The sequence below is a fragment of the Homo sapiens genome, chromosome 6 (assembly GCF_000001405.40).
Source record: "Homo sapiens chromosome 6, GRCh38.p14 Primary Assembly".
Taxonomy (NCBI): Eukaryota; Metazoa; Chordata; class Mammalia; order Primates; family Hominidae; genus Homo; species Homo sapiens.
The window spans coordinates 22,104,490-22,124,121 of NC_000006.12; the positions used below are offsets into that span (position 1 = coordinate 22,104,490).

The 19,632-nt window shown below is 38.4% G+C and overlaps 1 long non-coding RNA gene across 1 annotated transcript in view; it reads left to right on the forward strand.

Moving 5' to 3' along the window:
• CASC15 (cancer susceptibility 15) overlaps positions 1–19,632 on the forward strand; it is a 529,408-nt gene that overhangs the window by 438,077 nt on the left and 71,699 nt on the right. The window contains exon 9 of the long non-coding RNA NR_015410.2: positions 6,258–6,431. This is a non-coding gene — a long non-coding RNA (cancer susceptibility 15). The remainder of the gene's footprint in view (positions 1–6,257; positions 6,432–19,632) is intronic.

Below are 19,632 nucleotides of genomic sequence, written 5' to 3' on the forward strand. Positions count from 1 at the left end.
GAGAACGTCTCCCATCCCCATCACCTGGCCGACAAGTGACAAGTGGCTATACCAGGATGATCCCCAGGTTGCAAATGGAAAACTAAGAACAGGGAATTAAATGGGTTGCCCAAAGTCTCACAGCCGGTAAATGGAAAAACAGATTTGAACCCAGATAGTCTGGTGCCAAAGTCCCCATAACCACCATGCAGTATTGCAGAGGCAAGAGAATGGGGACTTGGAGGGAATGAGGCAAATCAGAAGAGTGACTCTCCTGGAACGGACAGAAGTGGCCAACAGAGCATGTGGTTTTAGGAAAGAGGATGCAATTGACAAGACCAAATTTAACAGAGCTGTTGAAACAGGTGAGAAATGAAAAGTGTCCATTGGATTTAGCAATGTAGAAGATTTTGTTTAACTTTTAACAGTAAGCCGTTTTACTATAATTGTGAAGATTCAAACCAGAATTCACTGGATTCAGAAATGAATATAGAGTGATGAAGATGAGTTAGTAAAAATAGCCCACTTTCACCAAAAGTTTGGAGAGGACGAGGAGTTGGAGCACAGGTATGGAGTGACATGCAAAGAGGAGTGGTTTTTAAAGATAAAAGTGGGCCGGGTGTGGTAGCTCACTCCTGTAATCCCAGCACTTTGGGAGGCCGAGGTGAGTGGATCACCTGAGGTCAGGAGTTCAAGACTAGCCTGGCCAACATGGTGAAACCCCATCTCTACTAAAAATGCAAAAATTAGCTGGGTGTGGTGATGTGCCTGTAGTCCCAGCTACTTGGGAGACTGAGGTAGGAGAATTGCTTGAACCTGGGAGGCAGAGGTTGCAGTGAGTCAAGATCATACCACTGCACTCCAGCCTCGGCAACAGAGCAAGACCCCATCTCAAAAAAAAAAAAAAAAAAAAAAAGATAGAAGCGATTTGGGCTTGCTTACGAGACAGGGTGACAAAGCCAGTAGGATGAGAAGGTTTGTCCTCACAAGAAAGAAGAGTAAACAGAGTACAACGTAGTTGGTAATAGTTTATAAAATAGGCATAAAGAGGTTTGTTGATTTATCTGGGGTATGTTTTGTGGCAGTTTTCTGAGTGTACAAACACCCTTACTTTTTTTTAGCTTCTTGTAGTATTATTTTAAGTGATATATAATTTGCTCAATTTCAGTATATTCCTTATGTGAGCTAAGTTTTTATCCAAACTTAAATACATATGTGAATTTCACATACCTCTTGTGTAAATTTTTTTTGAGTAGGAAAAAGTTGTTTCATCTTTGCTGCTGTGTGTTGATATGCATTCTGTCAGAATACAGCTTTTTGGTAATGCTGCAATAAACTGTCACTCTAATGTAATAGATACATGTAATAGATACAATAACTCAATCATTCCATATTACTTGACATAATAAAAAAAATGGCTTGAAAAACACAGCCTAAAGAACAAGGTTGAAACTCTAGTTAGCACAGGTGTTAGGCTTTCTACTGTTGTAGTCAATACTTTCGGAGCTGATACCTTTGGAGGCAAGGACTGTGAAAACGTTCATGTCTTTATCACCATTGCCTAGAATGGTGGATGCCTGAAAATGTCAGAGGTATGGGAAAAGAGGATACATTTATTTAGGTTTATTATCAATATTTTAAAGCATATGGCTATTTTAAATGATTTAATCCCGTGTTTGACAAATAGTAGAACCTCCAGAAGCCCTGGAATTTCAACTACCTCCATGAAGTTTCAGCTGACTTTAGAGATTTAGTTTGATGGCCAATTACTGTGGGCAACCTAAAAGGCGTTGCACCTGGCAGAAGCACTGGACACATCCTTTCCTTATGCTTCTAAACCTTGAGATGATATCATCAGGTCCAGTTCCATAGTATCCATCTTATTCTCAATATTCACTCTCTCCACTGATACAAGTGTAGCACATCTGTTAATTTTTTAAAATGCATTAGTTTTTACTTCAAACATGAGATGGTTTTGTTTACACCAGTATCTCAACTATTAACACGTATTAAGGAAAAAATTAAAAGTTTACCTTTGGAAATTGAATTGACATTGGGAACTTTAGGTTAACTATCACAGTGGGTCACAGGAAAGAATCTGGCCAAATTTGTCAACCATATTTGGCCTAGTTTTCTGCATATGTTTGCCAGGTGCAACAGCCAGCTTATTGCTGGAGGGCACAAAAATCTGGAGGAAAGGCTTGGCACTTGTGCTGTTTAACCCATTGAGGGGTCTTATTTTTGCTGAGATTTTGCCTACAGAGATCTGATTATACAATAGCGTATGAATGGGAAAGTGAGGCTTCTCTTTGCCTTCCGTAAACGAGAGATTTATAGAATGCACCTGTCAAGCATTTTTGGGAACACAGTCGCAAAAAAAAAAAGAAGATTAAAAATGTTATCTGTATTGGGAAGAATACAGTTCTAGGTGTGAATGGTCAGGCAAATGGGCCAATTAACAAACATGTACTCTTTATTAGGGGGCTCTCAATTTCCCGGAAAGTTATCACTTAAAATGGGAAGCATGAATATATATATATTTTTATAAAGTTAGCCTGATATGTAAAAGAATTTCAGAATTTTTGACAAATCGTATAATTAGAGGTTATATATTTATAGCTGATTCAAATCCCAAAATGAATAGAGATGTCAAAGCCTTGAGCATATTGAACGTTTACACATGAATAAGCAAGATGGCAGAAACTGTTTTCAAGCAGACCTATTTTTTTGCCTTTGTATGTTTTTGGTGGTTCTTCAACTTGCAATTTCCATATAATATTTTTTCATGTTTACATTAGCATGTAATTAGCATACATATAATTCCATAGTGGGATATGTAAATGCTCCCCACTCCCCAAATAGGTCAAATGGCTGTGAATTTTTATTTTGTTTAATACTATACTTCTAGACTATTTGTTATTTAGACAGTAATTGTATTTTCTTTCTTTTTAATTATTAGTTTGAGTCATGTGGCAGCTTATTAAGTCCCATTTTTAAGTCAAAGACATTAATGTTTCAGGACAGGTGTTTGAGTTTCAGAATTTGGAGGAATAGAATTGAACACATTTATATTACTTTTCCCTTTCACCACACTTAGTATTTGAAGACTACAGTCACTCTTTAACTATCAAATTTTTTTCCATTATTTTCATAAAACCTTCATACAACCAGGCACCTAAATACTATCTCAAAGTCATAACTTACTTCTGGAGGTAGTCTCTCTGTAACTCTTCTCAGATCACTGGGAAATATCTGGGAAATGTTTGAGGAAAATATTTTAATGAAGTTTACCAAATTTATTTTTAATGCTCTGTGTGTGTATATACGTGTTGAGTGAAAAAGAGACACACACTATAGAGAATGTATTTCAATGATTAAAACACGCAGAGAATAAACCAGTTGAAGTATCATTTATTTGGACATCTTATCTTTCACCTAATACAGATGTATGAGGATTATGAGTAAAGTTATACATCTTTATATATATGTGTGTATATATATGTATGTATGTATATATATGTATATTTATATATGTAAGTATATGCATATATATTTATATCCAAAGACCTCTGACACAGGTGCGTGCATGTATACACACACACACACACACACACACACACACACACACACACACGCCTTTGCATTTCTTTTTCTTTTTTTTTTTGAGATGGATTCTCACTCGGTCGCCCAGTCTGGAGTGCAGTGGTGCAATCTCAGCTCACTGCAACCTCCACCTCCTGGGTTCAAGTGATTCTCTTGCCTCAGCGGACTACAGGCGCCTGCCACCATGCCTGGATAATTTTTGTATTTTTAGTAGAGAAGAGGTTTCACCACGTTCGCCAGGCTGGTCTCTAACTCCTGACCTCAAGTGATCTGCCCGCCGTGGCCTCCCAAAGTGCTGAGATTACAGGCGTGAGCCACTGTGCCCAGCCTGCATTTTGTTTCTGGTTAGCTCAGGTCAGTGAGTCATTACTGCTGGGTACAGATGTGAAGTGTAGATGATTTCTCTAACACTGCTGTGGGAACAAGTGGGGCTAACTGTGGCTGCTCCAGAGAGGTACAGTTTTTAGGGCACTGAGATTGTTGAAAAAGAAAATGACCAGTGATACATGTGTAGGTAGCTGGAGTGGGTGGCCCTCATCACTTCCATGTCACTATATACCCTGTATTTCTATCTTTCCCTTGGTAATTTGCAGATTTATTGAGACAAATATTTTCAACTAAGTAATTCTTCACATCCTAACATGTATAGTGAAATTCCTACTTGTAGAGTTACTGTGTAAACTTAGTAACCATTGGAAGCATGGAAAAAATTGATTTGGAAACCCTGAAAGCCCTATGATAATAAAAATCATACAGCACTGAACTTGCCTAGGTGTATTATAATTACATTTGTCTGCCTCCCCCCACCCCCATACTGTGCTTTCATTAAGAGCAGGGACAAATTTTAAATTTCCAGATTTTAAATTTCACAGTTTGTTATGGCAGAAGCACACAATAAAGGATAGTTGAATGAAGAAAATGATGAATGAAGTTTAATGAAACATCAAGGTCTCTCTATTTTGTTATCTTTACCAAAATCATTATTTTTTTTGCTTAGGTAAGTGGCAGGAATTTATATTTATATTTCTCTTTTTTTGTATTTACTGATACTGTCAAGGAACTATGATGTTAGTAATGAAAAGAATGCTGGAATAATAATACCAATACCTGAGTTTAAATTTTGGCGTCACCTCCTCGAGCCTTCATTTCTTCATCTGTAAAATGGGCTAATAATATCTATACCATATAAGTGTTATTTCACAGTTATCTTTCTTTATTCAGGAAACTCTTGAAAATCTCCCATAATCCTAAACTGCCTAGCTAATATAGTAAGGATACAATTTTGAAACATTTCATGATGCTTTAAAAAAATAAATCCCTGTAAATCTTGCTCTGCAGGTGCCATGCTCATGGATGGGGAATTGAGAGCCACTGTTGCTTTAGGAGTAGGGCAGGGACAGCCTAGATTCTAGAACAAATGTGCCCTGGTAGCCATCAGAGAAGTTCTTATAAAAACCAGGATTTGTTGAAAATTCTAAAGCTTACATTTAAATATTAAGAAGAAACCCTGAGGATCTGAGACAGGATCTTATGTAAAGTGAGATGCAACCACATAGGAAAGCAAGATCCTTCTGGTGGATCAAAGTGATGCTTGAGGAGAGATTGAGGATGGGGATCAAGAACAAGGTGATTAAAAACAACACAAAACACTTCGGAAGGTTGAGGAGGGATAGGCAGAGGAGGCCGTGTCTTCCTGATCCTCTGGAACCCTGGGGGAGTGCCTTTTGAGGATCTCCAAACCATCTTGGCACAGGTAGTAGAGTTGAAAAGTGGCCTGTTGAAGAAAAAGCCATTCTACTCACGTCTTTTCCAGGTACCTCATATCTTAAAATTGAGCCAGATGTTCTGGAGAGACAGATGATGAAGTGACCTAATAAGTAGGCATCAGCACACCTTGCAGGGTCCTGGTAGCTCTAAGCAAGGAAATCGGTGGCAGAGATTACAGGGTGCCCCTCTCCAAGCTGGAGTCACAGCTGAGTCTGAGCATCAGATAGAGCTGAGATGAGGAGTCTAGTCAGTCGGGGGAGATGGCCACAAGCAGGCATTGTTTGGTGCCTATGACCAGAGGACCATCCCAGACACTTCAGAAACAGTTACAGTGAAGTTAGAAGCCAACATCCACCAGCGACCAGGCAAGATTAGCTGTGCCTTACTCAGACTTCAGCAGCCCACCCAAGAAGGGCAGTGATGAGAGCAGATGTTCTTTTGCCACCACAGCGTTACATACGCTTCCTCTGAGGAGGTGCTAGCATGCCAGAAGGAGGGGGAAGAGAGAAAACAACCCGAAAGACTGAAAATCTGCCCCAAATTGACCATTTTCCAGAGAACCCGAGTGATATTAAATGAACCAGCTTAAAATGTTTGTTTTGTTTTGCATTTTTATCACCAAGGGAGAATGGAGACTTGTGAGCAACATGAAGTTAGTTATGTGACGGGAAACACCATTTTTTAAAAAATTATTTTTTGCACATCTGTATTATAATGAATACATTTCCAATCAGCCACACCAGTGTGTCTTTCTCTCTTTTTAACTTGTGGATGTATAGTGTTCCCATTTGTAATGTATGTATTTGGAGCATTTTATGGTATACAGAACGCTTTCCCATACGCCCTCTCATCTGTTCCTTACCGTAACACAATGAGGTAATGTCAATATTATTATGCTTATGTTTCAGGAAGTTGAAGATTTGTCCAGGAGCAGATAGCTGAAGAGAGAGAGAGAGAAGAGAGAACGGCTTACAGCTCAGGTCCTCTCTCCATGCTTAGGAACCACTACAAATGCTACTGCCTTGAGTCTCATTTTGTTTCCCTCTGGAAACCACATGTGTACCTTGTTTGCAACAGTATGGGTATGGATGTTTTGGTAGTTCTTACACATTTATTTTAAAATTTAAAGAAGTAGTGCCATAAAGCTTTATCAGGATGTATTTAAAATGAAAATAGTCTCTTGTTATCTAGCATGCAACTGATTCTTTCAATTTGGTTTGGTTAGTCAGAATCTTACCAGAAGTCTGTCCAGGTGATAGGTTAGTTGAGAGCATCAAGACCAACCAAAATAAAACAAAAACAATAGCCTATGGCAAACTCATTCTGATCATTTCACATCCTAGAGAAAAGTGCAGAGAAACAAAAATGAGTCAATATTTTATAAATTCAGGGTCAATATTGTATGCAATGTCAATAGTGTATGAGTTCCAAAGGTTTTGTGTCACTATTAAATTAGAAATGATCCATTTTTATTCGACGTATAGTAGATCGGGCCATATAATGGCCAATAAATAAATAAATAAATAAAACCCCCACACCAGAATACAAAGGATAGTGAGGAAACGTATTTTGTACGACAATTGCAAACCACTTATGGGCTTCAATACAAAGTAATAGAGACCATCTCTTCTCTTTGGCTTTCCATTCATTTTTAGCATTAGTGAATTTATGTCCTGTGCTCTTGACCTTGAGCCCTAAGAGGTGTATGTCTTTGCCATGCTTCTGTGGCTACATTTTAGGAGAGTGAGTGTGCATTACATGTCCGTAACCCAGATCTTAGATAGTAGAAGGGTGCTGTTATAATTTGTGGACAGAGGCTGTAATTTGGTGCTCAGGGATTACCTCCTTTGTATATGTTTGCCTACTGCATGCTACCATTTATTGTAAGCTTTTTATTCATGATCTTCATTCTAGTTGAATCTGTGGAGCTATTGGTCATGAGTAGAGAAATAGATCTATAGGGTTTTCTTGAATGGCATTTCTCATTGCTAATGTGTTCTGTGACCAGCCAGGTTTATGGATAAACCCAGTTTTTGTGTTTCTCTGAGAGGTATGCATCAAAGCAGTTTTTTCCTCTTCACTTAGGAATTTTAATTTTCCTTCAGGGTTCAGTGGGCCATTTAGTACCTCCATTATCTCATAAGTTATTCTTACTATTTAAATGACTTTTTTTTTTAGGATGTTAGCATGTTGGCCCTTTTACTTTTATTTTCAAAGTCAGACCAAACAAACCATCAGAGTGCTGTAAATTTACACCTTACATTTGTTTGGAATTCTTTTTATATTAATATTTTTAGAGTCTTCATATGCAAGCAGAAATTTTCCATCCCCTCTCCACTGATCACCATTGAGGACAGGGCATGAGATGGGCAAACCCATGCTTTTGTGTGCCTGTAATGGCTAGCCTCTTTGTTACACACTTTATATTGGTCGTTATCTGATAGAATTCCAACAAATGAAAACATGCCCAAGTTAAAGAAATTAAATCTCCTTATCCATCACCTTAGAAAAATGACAACACAGCATGTATGTAATTTAAAATGACTTGTTGGAATATTTATTGCTAGATTGGGAGAACATTTCTACTGATAAGAAGCTCCTTTGATTTATCAAAGTTTTCCATATTATTTGTTAATTAACTCCATGTCCTTAATATCCACAGCTCATTTTTCCTATGATAATGACTCCATTGTGAAACATATAAATATAATGAAAAATATCCCTACCTGTATTAAAAATTGAGAAACCTCAATTACTTCACACCCATTGTATTTTGTAGTCAGCTCAGGACTGTAGTTACATAACTTCAGTTATTATTGCTGGAGCAACAAGATAAGAGAGTCATTGAAACATTGCAAAAGAGAATGCAGTGGACCAGGGTGGTAATGTTGTCCTTGTAATAAGCCTACTCCTGCCATTGCTGTTAGATGAAGGTTTTCTTTTTCCAAGTGTTATATAATTATATGCAATTATTTTTGTCGTTTGGTTTTCCTATTATCTTTTTCCTCCTCTTTTTGACACGAAAATGATAGTAACTGGAAAATATAAACCAATAAGATTTGAGCTATTTACTATGTTAAAAGAGAATTTGCCAGGTTTCAAATTATTTCCTCATTTGGATCTAGCGTGCAGCACTTACTGATAAGAATTCTCTAACACATGTCTATTTAAAAGTATTAAAAGTATTGTGTACACATTTCAGCAAATTTTGGCAAAAGGGTGTCCTCTGATGGGGAAGTGACTGTTCCTTTCTTTTGCCATTTCCCAGTCTTAAACCCTTGTTTTTACATCAAGCTCCTTTGTTAAGGATTCAACATAAAAGTCTTTGATATTATTGAGTCCATCTCTGACTCATTATTAGCCAACACTTTGTGTCTGGCTGGCAGCTTTTCCGTAAGTGGTAAGGTCAGCCTCATACAGTATTGCACAGCCTTTCCCATTCCTTTTGCGTCAGTGAGAATCAAATGATTCAACAGTGAAAAGCAAACTCTTGGACTGGAATAGCAAGATGACCCATCTCTAAACAAAGCAAACTGACTAGGATTCTCTCATGCTTAACATGCATCTTACTGGTTCTTTATGAAGAGCTTTCTCTTGGTAAGAGTACTCTTTAATATTTGTCTTTACTACAGGTAATCAGGATCTGTAATTCATGATTTCTCTCCTCAGTTAACAAGGCTATGGAATATTTCAAAGCAACTCAGGGTCAGCATGGTATAGTGGAGAAGGCGTTGAGTCAATAGATACGTCTACCATCTGGGTGCTCATTGAGAGAGAGGCCTGTTACCTTCTCTTAGTCTATAACTTCATCTGTAAAATGGAAATAATCTTATCTGCTTCACAAGGTTGATGCAAAAGTGAATATGTATAAAATTACTTGGTAAAATGTAAAACCCTATTCATATATAAGGGACTGCTATCCTTTTAAGAAGCAGAAGTGTTTGCTATCATCATTTGAGAGAAGTTGAGAATACTGGAACCTTTTAAAAATTGCAGCATAATGTCTTGGAGTGATTTGTTAAATATTGGCTTAAACTAGTAGGATTTTCCTTTTTTCTTTTTCTTTTTTTGAGACAAGTTCTCGATCTACACATAGGCTGGAATGCAGTGGTGTTGGTGTGATAAGGGTCAGTGCAGTCTCAACCTCCTGGGCTCAAGTGATCCTCCTGCCTCAGCCTTTTGAGTAGCTGGGACCACAGGTGTGTGCCACTGTACCTGGCTAATTTTTGTAGTTTTTGTAGAGCTGTAGTCTCACCACGTTGCTCAGGCTGGTCTCAAACTCCTCGGTTCAAGTGATCCTCCTGCCTTGGCTTCTCAAGGTGTTAGGATTACAAGCGTGAGCCACCGTGCCCAGCCAACTAATAGGATTTTCAGTAGTCAAATTGTAGCATTTTCCTTAGTCTTTGGCTCTGTAAGATTATCATGTTACATTGGAAAATCTTTCTTTGACCACAAAATTTAAAATGAAACTGGATTTGAGTTAGCTAGTACTCCTTCAGTAAATTGTATGTATTTCCTCTTAAGTAATTTGCTTCTTCCAATTGTTTCATCTTTATCATTCATTCTCTTTCCTCAGTCCTTTATTCGCTGCTGAGGGGAAGCAATGAAGAATTTCCTTTGACTCTGCCCAGTTTTTTATGGACACAAACAAACCATTTTTTTTTTTAAAGAGGCAGGTATTAATTCAAAGGAAATGTAATATATTTTTTAAACCTAGTGGCGGGGGTGCCAGTTAAGGAACTTGTAAGTAAAAGTTGAACTTTGGAGCCAAAACGATTGTTGGGACTCATCATCTTCATAATGAAAGTCTTTGCAATTATAATTTCATTTGGCAAAGATGAAGTTGTACCCTTGGGAGATGCCTTGCCAAATCTTTATCCATAATTCTGAATTGATTCCAGCCAGACTTTGTTATCGGAAAACTACTTCATATCCTTTCCTTATGGTGTGTGCCCTTAACCTCAAGAATTCAGTTTGTGAACACTGAAACTGTTCACAGAAAGTGTTTGGAGAAGAGCGCCCTTTAAAAATTAGTCATTAAGGTATAATGCCATATGGGCTCAAGGGGTGGCAGAGATGCTGAGTGGCTTCTTGTTCGTTAAGACTGAAATATTTATATGAGCAGTAATAATAACAGCATATTTCAGAGTCTGTGTGGTATGAAATTGAGCAGCGATGCAATTAGATAATATTGACAGCCCCTATTGTAATTATGTAAATAGTAGTAAGTTCAGCTCTCCTTTTATCTTTCATTTCCATGTGCACATGTAAGGAGAAGGCTAGAAAATATATAAATGTTGGGCAGGAGTGCTTGGCTATTTATTTATAGGACAGAGTAGCCTGAAGCTTGTGTTCCCCTGAGTTATTTTTTTTTTCTTCGAAATTAAGCAAGTCCAGTGGGTTCCCAGAGGGGACATGCAAATGCTTAGTGTTAAAGCATCCACTTGAGGATCCTGACAACGTCATAGGTCCATTCTGAGTACTTTTCTTTTGGAGTTGTGTGTTGGGATCCTACTTGACTAATACCAATACTTTTTTTTTTTTTTTAACCTTTCAAACAGATAATTTAAAGTTGTTCTCCATAGAGATGTTTTCTATGTCTAGCTGCCTATCAATCTTTCCATCTCAATGCAGAAGTATTTGATTAGTGTATTTAAAGTAATAAAGATGCCAACAGTAGTGTCACCTTGATTGATGCTAATTATAAGTCTTTAATGGTTCCTCTGCTTCGGCCACTGTCTCTGCAGATTGTGATTTTTATGGTTAAAATAGTGCCCTGCTGTCCAAAGGCTTAATCATAAATTCTGGTCTCCCTTTCTTTAATGATTTTGCATGCAGTGGTATAATCCCAGTAACATACATTATCTTCGTTAAAAGCAAGCAGTGACTTTCATAGGGGCGATTAATGCATTTATAAGGAGCTTGAGGAATCCTCGTTGGGATCATAGCAGAGGTTACGATGATTGTGCTTCCTGGGCATTAGAATTAGCAGCAATGTTGCATAGACTGTCTGAAAATAATTGAAGATTTTGATGCAGTCCCTATTTAGCACACTAATGTTGTAAATGAGACTATAACTGCAATGGTAAAAAGGCAGGATTTGTAACCTGAAGATGCTATCAGTATGTGGCTGTCAGACCAGTGAAATGAAAAGCAAGTTAAATTATATGAGGGCTTTCCTTCTTTAGAACAGTCTTAAACAGATTTGGGGTCACTCAGTTTGAAATATCTGTTGATGAAAATATCTCTTATCCTGAAGTTTTTCAGGCTGAATTTTCACAGTGTTAATATATGTTTAGTCTTTAATCTCCTTACTCAAGTCCACAGATACAGTTTTAAATAAGAAGAAATGTGCCTAGTAATACACACATTTATGGGACTTTCAAGGTATGGATAATTTGCTTATGTAAATATATGCCCATATACACTACACATACTAATACTTCTCTGAAATGACATATCTTATTGCAGACAAGCTTGACATAAATTAAATCGATGCTTTGCTATCTTGTAAGAGCAGTTTACTTTCACATCAATTACAATGCATAGCTTCTTGCATGTAGCGGGTATTTTAAAATAGTGCTTTAATGCTCTTATTGAAAAAACCTTGATAATTAAAAAAATTGTTTTTTAAAAGCACATTAATACTGGCATACATTAATATTATTATGTACCTATTTTCTCCTATTTAATTTTACTATATTCTATGCTTACAAACTAAGCTAGATGGAACTATAATAAAATGTTAGGTGTTTATATCATATTGCTTTCCACTAGTTATTCAGTTCTAATGATAATATCATACTATAATATCCTCTGTTAGTGCTAACCACTGACATCTAGACAAAATTGTTAACTTCTAGTAAGGAGAAGATACTTTTAAAATTTTTGAACCATTTACATTTTCAAAGAAGGGAATGCTAAATTGCTTTATAGGAAGGTAGTTATTTCCCAAGTGGTTCCGGCTTATAGGGAGAAACCACAGACCTCAGAAGCCAAGCTTGAAAGAGTATTCCTCTTGAAATAGCATCTATTCCACATTTCTGGGGGTAGCTGTAGTTAATAATTCTGGATGATAAGCAAAAGTCTACCCAATATTTATTTTTTTGGTGGAAATTTGAGGAGATATGCCCAGCTGCATAGTGGTTATTAGAAAATGCCTCAATTTACAAGCCTTATATTGAGAAACTTGTGACATCTACTTTGGGTATTTACAATAATGACTTACTTGCAAAGTCTTTTATTTTGCCATAGTATAGTTTAAGGTGATTGTTTGAAATGTTAATGTTCAGATGTTCTGAGGTGCTCTTTTAGGTAATGGTTATCATCGGTGAGCCATTGGACATCTTTTCACCAGAGTGATAATACGGAAAACATGTACACAGAATGTAACCTCTCCCACAGGGAACGTTTATCTTCTAGAGCGTCACTCAGACATTCTAAACATGGGCAGACCAGAAGGCGGTGTTAGAAAGCTTGCGATGGATGAGGAGGGCTGGGATTAAATGAACTAGGATTGACTGCGGAAGAAGACTGGTATGGGAGCCTATGGGATTATTACTGGGGATCTGTATGGTAATTAATCCCATATGAAGACAATACCTACCCTCCAATCTGTTTGTCTACTCATTCCACCATTGTCGTGCTCTACTGATTATCAATAGTGTCATTAGAAAAACCAGAGAAAGACTCTTCTGTGGGTGTCAACAGTCAGCAGAGGTCTGACTAAGCATTCGAATGACATCTTGTGTGATTCTACAATGAGAGTTGCAAACTGCTTGATCAGAGGAGGTGTGAGCTGCATTGTTTAGTCTGTCTTGCTGTGTGATAATTTTCTTTTGTAGTTTTGATAAATTAACATTGGCTTATGTATTCAGCAATATTCAACAGGAATCTTTTTTTTCTAAGCCCCCGGGCTTGTGTTTAAAAATGCAGGTTAGTTCTCAGAGGCTTTCAAAGCATTTCTGCATCATGCTACTAATTAAGATAAGGTTATCATTTTAAGTTATACCAGGAATGCAATTAGAGCTTCTAGTGAGAACTGTAGCAATCAATTTTCTACAAATTATGCAGACCTGGTAAGGTAGAATACAGTTTTAATAGGACAAGTGAACATACAGTGATTTATTAGATATAATGTGAATTCAAAAGACACCTGGACACAGCATCTGTAACACATCGTGTAGCCCAAGTCACTGGGACTCTAGTTCAACAGCCCTTCAGTGGGAGAGATTTAATAATATGCCTTCCATTCTCCATTGTTCAGTGACTGTTATTTTGGATTTTGAGAGGGATTTTTGTTTTTCAGTTTGAATGGTTTTAGACATGAGAAAGGATACAAAGCGCAGATGAGTGAGGCCCCTCGTTTATCTAGACTGACCCACTGCGGAGCTGTGGGTCAGTCCTACCTGTCATTCCTTTTACTTTTGTGGGACCCACAGAGTCCAGGTGACTAGCTGACAGTGTAATTAACTAATTTTTCTACACTGTCCATCTCTGCTAAGAGTATTTGGTGTTGGATAAGAAACTTACATGCCTTATCTGCCAACTGTCGGTAATTACTTATTCATTGAATGGATACCTGTTTTCTAAGGATGTACGAGGACTGCAAGGTTGAATAGCTCCCGAGGAGGCTGTAGATCTTTTCTTCCTAGGATCACTGCAGGTCTTCTGGAGCTCTCCATTAGGTCATAAATTACAGTACTTCTGGGCTTCCTTTTCTTAAACCTCTTAAAAATATCTGGAACACCTTTTACTTCTCCCTGGTTGACTTTTATTCCATTTGACCTATCAGCTTGTTCTACATTTTTCCATGCACCTAAATTCCTCAAATTGCAGTTGTTCATTCAATGTATATCTAGAGATTTTCCGTTGTGTGCCATGCATTGTGCTAGGTATTGGACACATCGTGGTGAAAAAGGATACTTGTGCTAATATCTGTAACATATGCCTGCCTTTCCCACCTCCACCATTAAGCACGTAACATCCCTTCCCAGCACTTGTGACCTTGCCTTGTAATTTACAGAGAAGATAAATATCCTCTAGTACAATCTCCTCTATCTTCTCCTTTCTTCCATATCTGCCATTATCTGCAGCTGAAAGGTGTTTTCTTTCTGTTCCGTCTCATAGAAAGTGTCACATCTCCTCCATTAAATTGCCATGATTAAGATAAATTTTCTTTAATGTTTCTATGCATTAATTTTTCCAATAATTTCTCTTTTTGCGATAATTTTTCTTTTCTTTTCTTTTCTTTCCTGCATAATTTTTTTCTACTTTATCTCAATCTTTCTTACTCTTCTGCTATTTCCCTTTGGCCAACAAGCAGGCTCACATTTTAGCTCAACCCTATCCAGAAACAAAAAGTAAAAAATCTGTTATCTTACCTGTTACTCATTCAAACTTCCTAGTTGCTAGTTTCTTCAAAGTGTGCCTACACAAATTCTGATTTTTCTTCTTCATGTCTCTTATTACAACAGTCTGGCTTCTGGACCAGCAAATCTCTAGACCAAAACACACCAGTGGCCAAAGTTTACTTCTCACTTCACTTAGCCTCGTACTAACATTTGTTATTGCTGCGTCTTTCCTACTTCTGAAAATCGGCAGCTGTCTTCAATCTATGGTGTCATTTCTTCGTCCTCAATTTCTTAGGCTGAGTTGTCCTTTTTTTGCTAACCCTTTTGGTGACAATGTCCCTCAGGGTTTCAACTTTAGTATTCTTCTTTACTTACTCTGTGTGAGGAGGTTCTTAAAACAAGAGGCTTCAAAGGTGAACTGTGAATGCCCTAAAATCATATGCTAACATATATGGTGTGGGTACCTACATTTTTCTGAGAAAAGGGTTTGTAGCTTTCATGTGATTCTCAACAGGTGCCAAAGACCAAGCTACAGCTGAAACCTCATTCTTTGAATGGTGGCATCCTCTTCCATGGTGTCCTGCTCCAAACTCTCACCTGCGTTTGTGCTGTATTCTATCTCAGGCTGACACATTGCTGTTGACCTAAGTTCTTAAAGAATCTTCCAGTGTGTTCTGTTTCCACACTCAGTTTTATGCCAAATTCTTTCCATTATGATTCAGAAATATAATTAGTCTGTCATGGTTTTGTCTTAGTTAGATTCCCTGTCACCTATTTCTTACCATCCTGGTCCAATCTGCACAATATCTCCAGAAATATCTTTTGATGTATCCTAAAATTAAAAAGCCTGCTCCTAGGATTTTCCCTCACTTACTATTCTTCAGTACATTCTTTCCCTCCTCCTCTACAGGTCAGGTTCCAGGTGAGAAATCACTTGAATTATAAAAGTCTTCAATATAATTCTCCTTACTTATATCACTCTTCCTCAACTTATGAACACTTTGAACCCTTTGCAATTAGCCAAGAGAAAACTCCCCCTTCACCCTTTAAAGGTTTGCTTAAAAATCAACTGACAAAAGACAGATTAATAGGAGAAGAGGCATACACGTTTATTAACATGCACTGGAGTCTTAACAAAATATAAGAACTCAAAGAAATGGCCAGATGGTTGACCTTTTTTTTTTCTTTTTCTTTTTCTTTTTCTTTTTCTTTTTCTTTTTTTTTTTTTTAGATAGGGTCTCCCTCTGTTACCTCGGCTGGAGTGCAGTGGTGCTATCTTGGCTCCCTGCGGTCTTGACCTTCTGGACTCAGGTGAACCTCCTACCTCAGCCTCCTGAGTAGCTGGCACCACAGGCTCACATGACTACACCCAAATAGTTTTTAAAAAATTATTATTTGGGCCAGGAACGGTGGCTTACAGCTATAATCCCAGCACTTTGGGAGGCCGAGGTGGGCAGATCACTTGAGGTTGGGAGTTCGAGACCAGCCTGGCCAACATAGTGAAACCCCGTTACTACTAAAAATACAAAAAAGGTAGCTGGGCATGGCGGCATGTGCCTGTGGTCCCCAGGTATTTGGGAGGCTGAGGTGGGAGGATCACTTGAACCCAGAAGGCGAAGGTTCCAGTGAGCTGAGATTGCGCCACTGAACTCCAGTCTGGGCAACAGAGTGAGACTCTGACTAAATATATGTGTGTGTGTGTGTGTGTGTGTGTGTGTGTGTGTGTGTGTATATATATATATATATATATAAATAAATAATTTGTAGAGACAGGGCCTCACTAGGTTGCCCATGCTGGTCTCAAACTCCTGGGCTCAAGCAGTCTTCCTGCCTTGGTCTCCCAATGTGCTGGGATTACAGGCATGAACCACTGTGCCTGTACTGGTTGACACTGTCTTTTTTTTTTTTTTTTTTTTTTTTTTTTTTTGAGACGGAGTCTCGCTGTCACCCAGGCTGGAGTGCAGTGGCGCGATCTGGGCTCACTGCAAGCTCCACCTCCCGGGTTCACGCCATTCTCCTGCCTCAGCCTCCCCAGTAGCTGGGACTACAGGCGCCCGCCACCACGCCCAGCTAATTTTTTGTATTTTTAGTAGAGGTGGGGTTTCACCGTGTTAGCCAGGATGGTCTCGATCTCCTGTCCTCGTGATCCTCCCGCCTCGGCCTCCCAAAGTGCTGGGATTACAGGCGTGAGCCACCGCGCCCGGCCTACACTGTCTTTTCTTTTTTTTCTTTTATTTTTTTTTGAGATGGAGTCTCACACTGTTGCCCGGGCTGGAGTGCAATGGCACGATCTCGGCTCACTGCAGCCTCCACCTCCCAGGTTCAAGCAATTCTCCTGCCTCAGCCTCCTGAGTAGCTGGGATTACAGGCACCCATCACCACGTCCAGCTAATTTTTTGTATTTTTAGTAGAGACAGGGTTTTGCTATGTTGGCCAGGCTGGTCTGGAACTCCTGACCTCATGCTCCACCCGCCTCGGCCTCCCAAAGTGCTGGCATTACAGGAGTGAGCCACTGCGCCTAGCCTGGTTGACACTTTCATACCATCTTGAGGTTACAGAAAGAATGAAAACTTTGATTACAGCAAAACAGGTTATGAGAGGGCAAGAAGAGCAGGCCTGGCTAGCAAGGGTGGTCTTCTTATGTAGATGAAACCTCACAGGTAGCAGCCCTCAGAGAGAATAGATGGTAAATGTTTCTTTAGACTTATAAGGTGTCAGACTCTCAGGTCATGTTTCCTAACTCTGCACAAGGGAGAGGCTCAGAGAAAAAGCATGGATGCATCCCTGCCAATTTTCTCTGCAGATGTAAATCTCCCCTACAGAAGACAGCTTTTCGGCTGTTCTTATATTTCTAGCCCTTCTGAATAGCCATCTTGAAATATGTCAAAGAAGTATGTTTTGGGGTGAAATATTTTGGTTTCCTTCACATTTCGCCAGATGTGTTATGCTGCGGTTTTCTCTCCCTGAAAGGAACCCCTCTTGTCTTGAATCTACATAGATGTTTCCTATTTATCTCCCACAGTCCAGCAGAGCCATTACCCTGGTCCCAGCCAGCGTTCAGCATGGCTTCCCTCTTGTCCATAACTCTGTTGTTGCATTGACAACTATTCAATATCCTCACTTTGTTCCTATCTCTCTCTCCAACAATATGAGAGGCCAGGGAATTTGCAGCAAATTTTTGTTATCTGAGTCTCCTTAGCACTTCAAGAAGTGCATGTTGACAGATCACACACTCTGAACTTCAATTGGACATTTATTTAGATATAAATGGCATTTTAGATCATTTTTTGGATCAAACAAACACATCAACTTTTTCAGATTTGCTTTCTGAGTGAGACTCCAACAGCTGTGGTTAAAACAGCAGTTGCCATCCCTGAAATTCTCCGCATAGTGTAGTCTACATAAATGTGCATCATATGTAATGTATATTGTTATACATGTAATATATGTGTATATGTATGTATATATATGTGTGTATATGTGTATATATGTATATATGTGTGTATATATATGTGTATGTATATGCATATATGTGTATATATGTATATATGTGTATATATGTGTGTGTATATATGTATATGCGTGTGTATATATGTATATATATGTGTATATATGTATATATGTGTGTATATATGTGTGTGTATGTATGTATATATGTGTATATATATGTGTATATATATATGTGTGTGTGTGTGTGTGTGTGTGTGTGTGTATATATATATATCACTCCCAGGCTGGAGTGCAGTGGCATGATCTAGCAGAAAGTCCTGGATCTATTTTATGAAACAAAACAAACAGCATATATAAGCATATAATATATTTTCTGTGATACACTTTTTAAAGAGAAGGTAAATCTTGAGTATGTTGACAACAGCTCTGGGATAGTTGATGTGTGACTTCAGTGGTAATTTGGTATTTTGCGACTTTTGAGCAACTTTGTGCAAGGAGAGATCTCTCCCACTCCCCCCTTCCATGGTTCTTATTCTCCTTCTTGCCCATGGTTAAGGCAACATCAGACCAAAGCAACTGATATCTCTGTGCCTTAAATTTCACAGTGTCACATATTAATAAAAGTGATGGATATTTTTCTCTTTTCTGAGAGTTTGTTAGATTTGTTAAGGTAATTTATTAACAAGATGTATCCTAGGGAAATACATTTTTTCACCTATCACTATCTTAGTAACATTTTTTGCTAATGAGGAAACTAGGTCACAGAGAAGTTAAATTACTTTCCATGGAGTTTTTGTCAGAGAACCATTAAGTGTGATATCATTAAAAGTTACAGCAAATTTATTCTAGAAAAAAATGTAGTGCTTAATCATCTGTATTAGTACTTTATCCTTAAGTCAACCTGGTAAATAGTTTCTAGATACAGTACAAAGTTAGAGTACAATACCTTCTGATCCATTGAGCCCTCTTCCATCTTTCCTTCTGCTCTCTGTATCATTTTTTTTTTTTTTTCCTGAGGTGGAGTCTTGCTCTGTCGCCCAGGCTGGAGTGCAGTGGTGTGATCTCAGCTCACTGCAACCTCTGCCTCCTGGGTTCAAGCGCTTCTCCTGCCTCAGCCTCCCAAGTAGCTGGGACTACAGGCATCCACCACTGCGCCCGGCTAATTTTTTTTTTTTCTTTGTAATTTTAGTAGAGATGGGGTTTCACCATGTTGGCCAGGCTGGTCTTGAACTCCTGGCCTCAAGTGATCCACCTGCCTTGGCCTCCCAAAGTGCTGGGATTACAGGCATGAGCCACCGCACCCAGCGGCTCTCTTCATCTTATGTAGAGAAAAATAACACAGAGATTCTTATTCATATTTTTATGAAAAATTTAAAAAGGAAACAAAGATTTTTGTAAAAGGAGTAGGTATAGAAAGAGTTAATTTTCTTTCTGACACTTCTTAACATATGAAAGGAATTAATTATTTGGCTGTTAGGTA